At 40.8% G+C, this 13,658-nt stretch overlaps 1 protein-coding gene across 8 annotated transcripts in view; it reads right to left on the bottom strand.

Moving 5' to 3' along the window:
• The window catches only part of KIF13B (kinesin family member 13B), a 196,111-nt gene that overhangs the window by 100,820 nt on the left and 81,633 nt on the right, over positions 1–13,658 (bottom strand). For all 8 annotated transcript variants that reach the window (XM_011544459.4, XM_005273458.2, NM_015254.4 and 5 more), the window contains 3 exons: positions 12,007–12,141; positions 9,369–9,481; positions 7,971–8,082 (listed from right to left, as the gene is read on the bottom strand). In XM_011544459.4, coding sequence (XP_011542761.1) covers positions 7,971–8,082; positions 9,369–9,481; positions 12,007–12,141 — 360 coding nt within the window. The remainder of the gene's footprint in view (positions 1–7,970; positions 8,083–9,368; positions 9,482–12,006; positions 12,142–13,658) is intronic.

Genomic DNA, 13,658 nt, shown 5'->3' on the forward strand with positions numbered 1-13,658 from the left:
ACAATTATAGTCTCACAAAAAAGTATGTTAAAGCAACTTCATTTTCTTCGCTCTGATAGCACTTCAAAAGCTACTAAGATTGCAAGTTCTACAGAAGCACTTCCACCGTTCAGACAATGGTCCTGAGAAGAGATACTGTCTTCATGACACTCAAACTGCTAAGTACAGTGAAACGGCTTTAGGACCGACTGGCTTCCAACAGAATGAAAAACCACCCTCACTTGAGAACATTAAAAATAGAGATTTAACTCAAGCACAAAAGAAGACTTGGGGCATCAAGCCCACTGCGCTCTGCTGCACCACAGACAAGGCTGCCTATGCAGGCGACCTCCTGGCGCCCACACCCTAGTACTCTCTGCTTCCCTTGAGGGTGGCCAGGACTTATTCATCGGTCTCCAAGGAATGAAAGTGATGGCATGTCACCTCTAAGGGTAGATTCAAAGAAGATGGTGGCTTCTGTCTTGGGTGTTTTCTTTCACTCTGGGGGAAACGGGCTGCCGTGAAGTGAGGTGGCCCTACGAAGAGAGGCCCACAGGCACGAGTTTGGAAGCAGATCTTCTGGACCCTGCTGACAACCATGTAAGTGAGCAGACACCTCCCCACACCGGTCATGCCTTGAGATGATGATGACGGCAGCCCCCCATCCCCAACACTTTAATTACATCCATGTGAAACAACCCGGCTAGAGCCACGTCATTAAGCCACACGCACCCGGAGTCCTGACCTATGGAAACCCTGAGACAATAAATGACTTGTTTGCAGCTGTTCCTCTGGGGGTAATCTGTTACAATCAATAGATAACTACTCATATATTAGGATACCAACCCAGGCTGAGACAAATCATCGAAGCAAACAAAAAGATTGAATATACTCTTTTTAGGAACAGAATGTCACTGAATGACAGACTCTCAAGATTAGAGGGAACACTCCAATGGGCCAGTAATGGGAAACTCACTAGAGCATAAGAAAGCTAACTCTACTTTGGGGCAGCATTAACCTATGGAAAACTGCTTTTGAAAATAAAAGGCTTTTCCAATCTTATTACAATGAAAATGAGTTGGTACAATCTGTGATTTCCCCAGTCTTTGTGCACACACTTTACTTAGGTCTCCACCTTTTGTGAGTTCGATTTATCACAGAGCCTGGTTTTATCGGTGAGAAAACAGGTTTGTTCGGACAATGGAGGTTAAATCTTGCACTCTGCCTAAAAATCTAGAACTGGTAAGTTGAACAATATCCTAGCCCAGTTAGACTCTGCCTTCAAGTCCAACATGATTTCCACTCCCCCACAGCTGCCCACAATACACATTTGGTAACACAGAGAAAGTTCAGGCCTGAAGATTAAATAAGGTGACCTGACATCTTTCCAAATTATCTTGCCCTAGTTTCAGAAACAAAATGATTCCTAAGGTGTTACTAAAAGGTCAATATGATCACAGACAATATGTCCCTTATTCATATACCAGTGAAAGTTTGGTTTTCCACAGAAAACATAATTATATTGCTGAAGAAAATATAATTTAATGTATGACATGGGAAGAACTATAACTAATTTGGACTTTAGGAGGTAAAAGCCATGACTGTTTGCTTTGCTCTTCACTCCTAGACATTAATCTCACATAGCTGGTGCTCCAGATTTGGCAACTTCCAGAAAAAATTCATGAAGAGTCCCATGAACATGAATGAAATTCAAATGTGATATAACGAAAGCACAGGAATTCAATCTCATCACCATTTGGTTCACTGGCAGCATCGCATTGTCCTCTGAGAACCACTGCACACTGTCAGCCCACGTGAACAGCAAATGCTCTCAGCTGAAAGGGGATTTGTAACGATAACTACCAAAGGAGAAAAGCATGTATATTGTGCTCCAATTTATGCTGAGAAAAGGAAACCTGGCAAACAACAAATGCTTGATATTTTAAAAGCCCTTGTTCATGGAGCAACAATACCCTTATGTTAAAAATGACCTCATGCCATCAGCAAAAAGGAAATCACAACAAAAGAACTGGCACTCATTCAAGGAGAAAGTAGAAAGTGTCTTGTTTACTCTTTAACTGTTTAGGCAAATCAGATGAGGTTTGTTTCAAAGGTGGCAACAGCAAATTAAATAGTCATAGGAAAGAATTTACTTTTGGAAGTCAGAATTTTTAAAAGCTGAAAGAACTCTGTGAAGACATATAATCCAATTATTTCATTTTACAGATGAGAAAGTGAGACCCAGGAAAACGACAGACTTTTCAAAGGTCACAGAGCTGATTCAGAACAGAGCTGAAATTACTCATTCACTCGACTCTTCCTGGAGTTCACCACTAGGGAGGATGCTGGTAAGTAATACTATATAACAAGGACTAAGATGATAGAGATAAATACAATATGGTCTAAAACAAACAGCAGAGAGCCAAATCTTGAAAGGTTAAGGAAGACTCTCACAGAAAGTGACACTTGAGACCCAAAGATAGAGAAGCATCACCCAGGTAAAGGGAGAGGGGAGAGGAGGGAGGAGAGACTGAAGAGATGGGAGGGGAAAGCATGTTCCAAGTGGAACAAGAGTAAAGTCCTAGAGGCAAGACAACACTCATCACTTAGCTGGAATTTGTAACACCAAGAAGCACAAGATGAACAATAAAAAAAGTAAAAGGGGTCAGCTCATAAAGGACCTTGTAAGTCACACGCCATTAAAGAATTTGGACTCTGTGGCTGGGCGCAGCGGCTCACGCCTGTAATCCCAACACTTTGGGAGGCCAAGGCAGGAGGATCACTTGAGTCCAGAAGTTCAACACCAGCCTGGCCAACATAGTGAGACCCTGTTTATACAAAAAAGAAAAAAAAGGAACTTGGACTTTATCCTAAGGGCCTATAGACAGTTACTGAAAAGACTGAAGGTTAAAAGTATTAATGTAGAAAGATGTTGCAACCTAACCATGGAGAAAGGACTGGACTAAGAAAGCTCGAGGGAAACGACTGTCATCCAGGCGACAGATGAAAAGTGGCCTTCATTAGGGAGGTGGCAGTAGGAACGAAAAGAGGGAGATGAATTAGAAAGATACTCATTATCTGAGCACTCACTACCAGAAGTTACTTCACGTTAAGAGGCCCACATTTAGATGGTTATTCAGAGGACCAAAAATCATCTTAATATGAAATAGTTCTCCAGTGATGACTCAGCGAATGCGTAACCCTCATTTAATGGTTGTTCCATCCTCCCTGGGAGAAGAGCACTCACATCTATTCTGGACCAAATCACCAAGAAAAGCCACAGCTTCTCTCATTCTCAGATGTTACACACATTAAGAGCACAACACAATTACAACGCAAATATGAGGCAGAAAAAAAAAGACGCTGTGAAACTGAAAATGTTATAGAAGATGGGCAATTGTACAAGTTCAATGGAAATTATGTTGAAGAATACTGGAAGTATGCCCATGTCAAACTAGGATCTGGGTGAGTCAGACTAAGAATTTAAGAAGGAAAAAGCAACAGGGACCTAAAACCCACTTTAAAGGAAAAGGATCTCCATTTCAACCAATTTGGAGAGAGCTCTGGGAAAACTGCTTAAGCTCTGGAACATGTTTTGCGAAAAAAAAAAAAAATGCCCCTATTTACGATCTTCTGTGAAGTCCAAATGACGTTAAAAAAAATCATATAATTTTTTTTTCTTCTTTTTTTTTTTTTTTTGAGATGGAGTCTCACTCTGTCGCCCAGGCTGGAGTGCAGTGGCATGGTCTTGGCTCACTGCAACCTCTACCTCCTGGGTACAATCGATTCTCCTGCCTCAGCCTCCCAGGTAACTGGGATTACAGGTGCACACCACTACTCCCAGCTCATTTCTGTATTTTTAGTAGAGATGGGGTTTCACCATGTTGGCCAGGCTGGTCTCAAACTCCTGGCCTCAGGTGATCTGTCCACCTCGGCCCCCCAAAGTGCTAGGATTACAGGCCTCAGTGAGCCCCATGCCCAGCCAGATCACATATATTTTCTTTTCTTTTTTTTTTTTTTTTGAGATGGAGTCTCACTCCGTCGCCCAGGCTGGAGTGCAGTGGCGTGATCTCGGCTCACTGCAAGCTCCTCCTCCCAGGTTCACACCATTCTCCTGCCTCAGCCTCCCGAGTAGCTGGAACTACAGGCGCCCGCCACCACGCCTGGCTAATTTTTTTGTATTTTTTAGTAGAGACAAGGTTTCACCATGTTAGCCAGGATGGTCTCGATCTCCTGACCTGGCGATCCGCCTGCCTCGGCCTCCCAGAGTGCAGGGATTACAGGTGTGAGCCACCATGCCCAGCCAATCACATACATTTTTAAGGAAAAAGATAATGACAAATATTCAGCAAACACATGAGTTATTTTTAATACATGAAAGTTGCAATGATAACCTAAATTAACTAAACAGCAGATTAAGTGACCTTTTAAAAAATGTTATGGTTTCATTCTTCAAGTTCAAGTACTATGAACAGTTTTTTTCATTATTTTCTATCAAGGACTGGTAATATGAAGTGAGTATCCTTCTAATGAAAATTAACCTTTGATAAGAAGAGCACAGCCTTGGCAAAAACAGCTGCACAGTCAAGTCAGCGATGATTCCAATCCCGATCCTGCCATTCATTAGTTCTGCACCCTCTGTGTCATCTGACCACTGGGAACACCACCCTTTCCCTTCTGAGAAGGAAAGGAGACGATACCCATGAAGCCCTTGGCATGGCACCAGATACTCCTGCAACAGGTGCTCCTGGCCTCCAGGCCAATGAAGCCACTCAGTGATTACCCGTGCCATTTTCACTATGTCGATTAAGTTAACAAAAGATATTTCTTGTTTTTTGGTGCTTTTTTTTTTTTTTGAGAGGGTTGTCTTACTCTGTCACCAGGCTGGAATGCAATGGCATGATATCAGCTCACTGCAACCTCCGACTCCCAGGTTCAAGCCATTCTCCTGCCTCAATCTCCCGAGTAGCTGGGATTACAGGCATGCACCACCACACCCAGCTAATTTTGTTATTTTTAGTAGAGATGCGATTTCACCATGTTGGCCAAGCTGGTCTCGAACTCCTGACCTCAGCTGATCCTCCCACCTAGGCCTCCCAAAGTGCTGGGATTATAGGCATTAGCCACCATGCCCGGCCAACAAAAGATATTTGTTGTTTTAAATGGACTCAAGTAGCAACACTGAAACAAGGACAATATATGATCAGGAAATGTTTCTATGGAAAGTTTGAAGAAGAAGTATCTTATCAAGATTTCTTCTACAGGCCAGGCATGGTGACTCACAACTGTAATCCTGGCACTTTGGGAGGCCGAGGCAGGAGGATGCTCAAGGCCAGGAGTTCAAGACCAGCCTGGGCAACATAGCAAGACCTCATCTCTACTAAAAATTGAAAAAAAAAAAAAATTGCTAGGCATGGTGGTGTAGTCCCAACTACTAAAGGAGGCTGATGTGGGAGGATCACTTGAGTCCAGGAGTTCCAGACTGTAGTGAGTTATGACTGCACGACTGCACTCTAGCCTGGACAACAGAGAGACCCTGTCTCCAAAAAAAAAAAGACTTCTTCTATTAAAAAAAACAAATTCCTGGCCAGTCGCAGTGGCTCATGCCTGTAATCCCGGCACTTCAGGAGGCTGAGGCGGGTGGATCACTTGAGGTCAGGAGTTCAAGACCAGCCTGGTCAACATGGCAAAACCCTGTCTCTACTAAAAATACAAAAATTAGCCAGGTGTGGCGGTGCGCACCTGTAATCCCAGCTACTCGGGAGGCTGAGGCAGAAGAATCGCTTGATCCAGGAGGTGGAAGTTGCAGTGAGCCGAGACTGCGCCACTACACTCCAGCCTGGGCAACAGAGCGAGGCTCCGTCTCAAAAAAAAAAAAAAAACTCATTTGGTAATGAAACGATTTAAAAAAAAATTTTTTAAATACATATGTTTAAGGTATAGAGCACGTTTGATATATGTAAACATAGTAATATAATTGATTACTACATTCAAACAAATGAACGCATCCATCACCTTACATGGTTATCTTTTGTGATAAGAGCACCTAAAATATACTTTGAGCAAATTTTTTTATATACAATACACTGTTATTAACTATAGTCCTTAGACTGCCCATTTGATCTCTAGACTTAATATCCTATATAACTGCAAGTTTGTTCACTAATTTTTTAAAGAAACCTATTTACTCTATGATTTTAATGGCTTTTATGAAAAAGAATAATTATATTCATCCTCCAAAGTCTTGAATTTTGCAGTTTGCTTGTTTTTCTAATTACAGAAAAAAAACTACAAAACATTTTTGTTAGTCTTACAGAAGCAGAAGTTCTTATGCTGTTTGAGACAGGAAAGAAAAGTAAATTTTTTTTTTTAGGGTAAAAGCACTTGAGGTATTTAGTTATGTAAGCTGACGTCAGGATTCAAGTAACAATATCTGAATAATAATGTTCTATTTTAAAAGACAAGGTTAGAATTGTCTTTATGGTGGGCCAAGGTGTTTTAATTTTGTTCCTAATAATTATCTCTTACTATCTGATGTTTGTGAGGTTGTTTGACGAACCTTTACAAGCGGTTTTAATTATCATGATTTGTTTACACTTTTGTTTAAATTTCTAACAGTCCTGCATTTTGGCCAAAGGAAGTAATGGACCTGATATTCTACTGTGGAAAATTTACTGAATTTTAGCATTACATTTAAGAGAGAACACACTGACATTTACGTAAAGAATGTTTTATTTTAACAAAAGATATTCAAATAGTGTGCAGAGTTTTGAATTAAAAAGTTGAATACTAGTTAACTCTTGAGAGGAGGAGGAAACCAGAAGAAACCCCTACTTCATTTCACAAAGGCCTTTTTCTAAACATGCTATGGACTAAATCAGTAACTATGTCCTCTACTAAGCTACTGGGGCGGCCCGTGTTGAACTCATCTTAGTATTTTCAACCCCTAATGCAACGCATGCCAGGTGTTCAACAAATTCTTGATCAATAAGAAAATAAAACATCACAAAATTAAACAGGGCACATAAAATTATTTCTCCATTTTAAAAATAGAAAAAAAAGAGTATTAAAGGATTTAGTGAGGTGACACCTCTATAAATGGGTTAAATTGTCACTGCAACTTATACCCTCTAATTCCCAGTCCGATATCCAACTCACCACACCACCTTATGAAGACTAAAGGGGCTCTGGAAGGCTAGAGGAAGCTGGAAATAAGTCTCTCTTTTTTCACCAGACTCCTATTACATGTTATCACCATCTCTGTCATGGATCTATCACAAACTCATGTTCTAATATTGTGTGTGCACATCTTATCTCCCTTACGAGCCAGAGAGGGCAAGAAGCGCCCTCTGTTTTCCTCTGTTTTAAAATGGAGGCTACGTTCTTCTCCTACCACCGCACATTGGCTTTCTTCTTTCTCACTTCCATTGCTCTTGTTCATACTGAATCAATCAATGAATGAATGAATGACTGTGTGCTCTACTCTGCAGCCTCTAACAACATCTTTAAGAAGCCAAAAGCAAATTAAAGGCATCATGAGTAAAGCTAAACAGAAACCAAGGTCTGACTGTCCCAAAGTTAAACAGAAAACAAGCTCCAAAATGTTAGCCCAACAAAAGGAGTCTGTGGAAGGCCAGGGTGGCCCAGCTGAGTGTGAGGCCAGCGGAGGCTCCTCCTCCATGACTCACACAGTGGTCAGATTAGCAGGAGGCCCTTTCTCTACTCCCCTAAATCTCCAGAAGCAATCGTGTGATTCCGTGTGCGTCCAGCAACCCCACTGCATCCAGGTTCTAGTAAGCTAGGATGTGAATTGCTAGGAAAAAACCTACGTTTATTCCATCAAAAATGTCATTACCATAAGAGCCTAATAATTATACATTTGCACACCGATAGAGGAAATGATACCTGGAAGGGATTAACAGTCTACTCTTTTTTCTTCCTTCTTGCCAACCACCAAAAGTATGCCAGGAAGGGAAAAAAAACAAACTTACTTTGAGCAGCCAAGTGAGAACTGAGTCACGATATGGAACAAATTTATTCTTGTTTTTGCCAGCACTCTGATCTGCAAGAGCTGAGATAACCAGACCGAGGGTTGTGAGGGACCTGCATGGTGCAACAAACCAAAATAATTACAAAAATGAAATATATCAAATGTCACATTTTAGCACAAAGATTGAACACTAAGATGCCCTTGTACCTGCATGTGAGCAGCACCCTGTCAGCATTTTGCCGCTCAGTTCAAAAGCACACAACTCAAAATAGTTATTTTCCCCCAATACTACTATAAGCAATAAAAATGCTTAGCCTAATATTTTGTAGTACATAAAAATGTGAGCTATAAATCTTCAGGTCAATATAACACCAAAACCATGTATCTTTAAGAAAGGAAGCCAGAAACACAATAATTAAACCATAGTACAAAGCAAAAATTGTATATATGAGATTCAATAATAGGATAGCATCTGGGTGACAGTGTTTTATCATCTCCATTTGGTTTCTTTATGACTCCTATGTGTCCTTCTGGGAGCCAAGGACAGAAAAACTTCCTACCCATAATGAGCTAACAATTTGGCTTGAGGGAGAAAATGTGAAGTCCATATGAAGGAACTGATAAACAAAATATTACTTCGTATTATTCGTAGCACAGGATCACCCCTCCCATGAAAAGAATTACCTGACCCAAAACAGCAATAGGGCCACTGCTGAGAAACCCTGACCTGACTGAGGCTGTGCTCTTCAGCCCCATCAAGCACCTCAACAAAACCTAAAATGAGCCCACATGAAGGAACTGGTAAACAAAATATTACTTCGTAAAGTCTTAGCTTCTTGGACTTGGACAAGCATGACAGTGTTTAGTAAAGGAAAAGCTCAACGTGGTTAGTACAAGTTTGTCCAAAGAGCAACACACAGGTCAAGATCAACAGTTCCACTCTGAGAGACCAATTAGCTTTGATCCTCTCTATAGCTTAGACCAGTGGTTCTCAACTGGAGGGTGACTATGCCCCCACAGGGAACAGCCATGGTTGTTGAAAGTGAGTTTGGGTTGACACACCTGGGGGTGGGGGAAGAGGCGGCAGCTACTATCGCCATCTAGTGGGGAGAAGCCAGGGATGCGGCTAGACACTCTACAAAGCACAGCATCACCCCTCCCATGAAAAGAATTACCTGACCCAAAACAGCAATAGGGCCACTGCTGAGAAACTCTGACCTGACTGAGGCTGTGCTCTTCAGCCCCATCAGGCATCTCAACAAAACCTAAAATGGGCCCAGGCCCATTGAAAATACCAGAAAAAAATTTCAAATCACCTTAATATTTTAATAACCACAGATGTTCCCCTATTGGCTATTAAATAAATAAAGCAATAAAAATAAGCTTTGAGAGCACTTACTTGTTAATGTTGCTCCCTTCCTTCAGCCTGTCCCCTGCAGCGCCTGTCTTCGTTGCTCGTTCACTGCCAGCTAAATCCACCAGGCTGAGTTTGCCCACTTTCTCTCCAGATGTCTACAAAGGAAATCAATCAATACTAATCAACAGGAACACAGGGCCAGGTGTGGTGGCTCATGCCAGTAATCCCAGCACTTTGGGAGGACAAGGAAGGAGGATCACCTGAGCCCAGGATTTCAAAAACAGCCTGGGCAACACAGCAAAATCCTGTCTCCACAAAAAAATAAAAATAAATAAAAATAGCTGGCCATGGTGGCGTGTGCCTGTAGTCCCAGCTACTTGGGAAACTGAGGTGGGAGATCACTTGAGCCCAGAAGTTCCAGGCTACAGTGAGCTATGATTGCACCTCTGCATTCCAACCTGAGCGACACAGTGAGACCCTGTCTCTTAAAAAACAATACAAAAAGCAGTTCTGTCACAACCAAATGGGTTATGATCTAAACCCTTTATTAAAAGTATTTACTGTTACTTCAAAATTATTTTGTGCTGCTATAACACACTGTAAGAAAACTGTACAATCTAACGGTGGAGACACAGAAAATTTATAAAACTCTACTAATCCAGCCAGGATGAAAGCTAATTATCTCAGGAAAACAGTGCCTCCAAAATGGGCCATTTTGAAGGGTGCCCAATGAAATTTTCAGAGCAGTATACAAAAGTACTTATAAGACTCAAATTTTATTATTATTGGAAACTGTGTTTAAAATTTCATGGATATTTATCAATAATCCTGAGACAAAACACTTGCAATTCTGACATAAAAAAAAAATCTGACCTTTATACAACAGAAGAACCCCTCAAAATCTCAAAACATTTTGTAACATTTACATCTTATTCATATATAATTCCATTTCATGTCAGGTGTTATTAGATTTACATCTTTTTCTAATTAAGATATTATATACATACAGATACATAGATATCTTTATCAAAAGTGTTTTCTTATCAAGCACATACATGTAACATACTTCGTACTTCAATAGCAATATAAGGAATGTAGGAAACCAACACCAAAATCTATAGACTGAATCATTTTTAAAGCTTTCCTTTAAAATAGACATTTATTTCCATAAATAAACATGCTGTTAACAAAAGGTTATTCAGTGTCCCAAATCAAAAGTACTTTTAGTTAAAAAAAAAAAAAAAAAGTCTTCAGTATGTTTTTTGTTTTATGCTGAAAAGGAAATAAGAAACAAAGAACTTTTTGTTGTTACACTAATCTTGCTGTGATGGTAAAAGGAGAAAAATATGCTTTCAGCAGATGAAAATCCTGCCAAAATATAGCACTTTGCCAGGGTGATTATTTTACCTTCTGGTATTTAAAATGGACACACTAGGGGGTAGGCATCATAATAAAATATGTAAAATTCACATAAAAAGAGGGAAAACGCAAATATACTAGGCAACAGAGAAGTTTGCAATGCAGCAGAAGCATGTTTATCTCTGACTGGGTTTACTCTTCACTAGATTCAAAACCAAACACTCAAAAAGTTATTCCACAAAAGCAAGTGATTTTATAGTACAATTGCCCCAGTGTCATTTATTCCTTCTAATAGTGTTTCACAGAAGGCAACACTGCAAAAGAACCTCTGCTAAATCAGCTAGAATTTTTTTTTTTTTGAGACAGAGTCTTGCTCTGTTGCCCAGGGCAGTGGGGCAATCATAGCTCACTGCAGTCTCAAGCTCCTGGGCTCAACCAATCCTCCCACCTCAGCCTCCCTAGTCACTAGGTCTATGGGCATGAACCACCCACACCTTGCTAATTTTCAAATATTCTGTAGAAATGGAGTCTCATTATGTTACCAGGCTGTTCTCCAACTCCTGGGCTCAAGCAATCCTCCCGCCTTGGCCTCCCGAAGTGCTGGGATTACAGGTGTGAGGCACAGTGCCTGGGCAAGCGAGAGCATTACCATTGGCTCACGCAGTTAGCCGTCACAGTTTAAAACTCAAAAACTGCTGGGGCAGACAGTGGGCCATCGGTGCACTTAACTTCTGCTCCACCTTCCTTTAGTGGGAGTGGGCAGGAAGCTTAAACCCACATTTCTCAGACTCCCTGGCCACCCAGGCTCAGGATACACCTGCTAGAGGCTGGAACGCAAAAGCAGAGCAGAGGCTGCCTGCTGCCCCTTTCTGGCTCTTTCTGCTGGCAGCGGGACTGGGGAAATGCAAGCACATTCTCCAGGTTCCAGGGTGCTACGAGGCAGCAGCATGGACAGAAGCAACTTCTCTATTCCTGCTTCCTGGATCACAGCTATGGGTATGCCTGGAACACAGAGTTCTAGAGGTGTCCTCAGAGGTGTCACCACCCCGGGAGCCAGATGTGTGCTGTTCAGAAAGTTATTCCTCGAGAGGCAGTCTAGAACCTGGTCCTCCTCAGATGTCCCAACAACCCTGGAATGACCTGCTTCCCTACATGACATCCCTTTCTATTGACCTAGAGGAGCTTCTGTTTCTCGTCCAGAGTCCTCATTGATACACAAGTCTAGCCAGGACTTTAATTCATCTAACACCTGAAGAGGAAAAAAATAAAACCACAATCCACTTTAGAAATATAAAAACAGGTCATGCATCTGAACACCTACCCCAGACTTCACATCGTAGAGAGTATGTGTGAGGGTGATTTTGAAAACTGCATGGGATCGGCTACTCTCCTCGTTCATGTTGGTTGCAGCAACTGTGCGAGATTTGTTACCCTCAGACATCAACGACTCAATATCCTAAGTGGAAACAAGTCATAGACCCACGTTTCATTACTTGTGTAATACACACTAAAATCCTGCTATACTACAAAATTCATTGCAAGTTTTGCTACTTAGTCAACAACATTTGGAGTTAACATTTTGTTTCTCAATGAATATTGAGCCCCATGGAGTACAATAGCCAATACTGTCTCTGAAAACTTTCAAAGTACATCATTTGCTACAGGTACAGAGGTGGCAGCCTTGACTCAAAGTTCAGAAGCTACACCTTTGGTCACACAAGATGAACAAGTATGCCACACCAACCCTCATCTAATATAGAAATTTGAAAAAACGTAGTTTCTTTAATACAGAAGCAATACAAATTTATTGTTAAATTAGATTATACAAATAAGCAACACAAATAACTTAAATAACTTGTGCCATTTGTCGCTTCATACAGGCATATCACCGACTACCACTATCTTAGCAGACCTGGTTTTAAAAATGAGAACCTCAAGAGACTAATTTTCTGCATTGATTTACCACTTGGTTGCTACTACTACTAAAAAAGAGAAACAACAAAATACAATAGGAAGGTCAAGGGATTTTCTTTTTTTTTTTTAATGTTATAAGCTCTAAAACAGTTAACCAACCTGGATTTTAACTGCATTAATAACAATGCAGAGCTATGACACCCATCTGCCTTACAAGGATCTTAATGAGGAGTGAGAAAAATGTATGTGCAAAAGTCGACTAGATGCTTCCCATTACCCAGTCTTCACTTCTTTCCAGTAGGGCAGCCCAATCTTCAACTTGGCACATATGGCCGAGCTAAGAGACTACATTTCCCAGATGCCCTTGCAGCTCACTCTGGCCTCATGACATTTTAGTGAATAAGATTTAAAATTAAAATACGCCATCTGGGAATTCTCCTTAAGGGTGTAGGCATGCTATCTCGTGTTGGTTCTAAGAGCCATCTTGAACTATGGGAATAAGGACATTACCACACCTCTCTGTGTTGACCACTGGAAGGAATCTAGGTCCCTAATAACACATTTGGGGCCACCATACCAGCCCTGGAGAGTCTACCTCCATATTTCTTTTCCATGAAAAGCCTTGTTTCAATCACCATTCATTCACACTTTCAAATGTATACTGAAAGCACCTACCATAGGACAGGTACTTTTCAGACACTGAGAATATATAATGGACAAAACAGATAATAATCCATGTTTCAAATAACTCTGATACATTTTTTTAATGTTAGGTGCAACTGAACACAATCCTACCTGACACACATCATCAAAAACTGAAAATCACAATTTTCTATTAGAAGAAGAATGTTTACAAAAAAATTCACCATGATACATAAAAAGCCTCAAAGTAAAAACATTAACTGCAAAAGGAAGTATAAGTAGGCCCCAGAATGGGAAAACAACAACAAAAGATAAAATTCACAATTTTCTAGATTGATTCCAAACCCACTTTAGATTCACTAAGTCTGATAACTTTTCATTTAAAAGCCTCATCCTATTTAGTCTATATTTATTCGC

This window comes from Homo sapiens, chromosome 8, assembly GCF_000001405.40.
Source record: "Homo sapiens chromosome 8, GRCh38.p14 Primary Assembly".
Classification (NCBI taxonomy): Eukaryota; Metazoa; Chordata; class Mammalia; order Primates; family Hominidae; genus Homo; species Homo sapiens.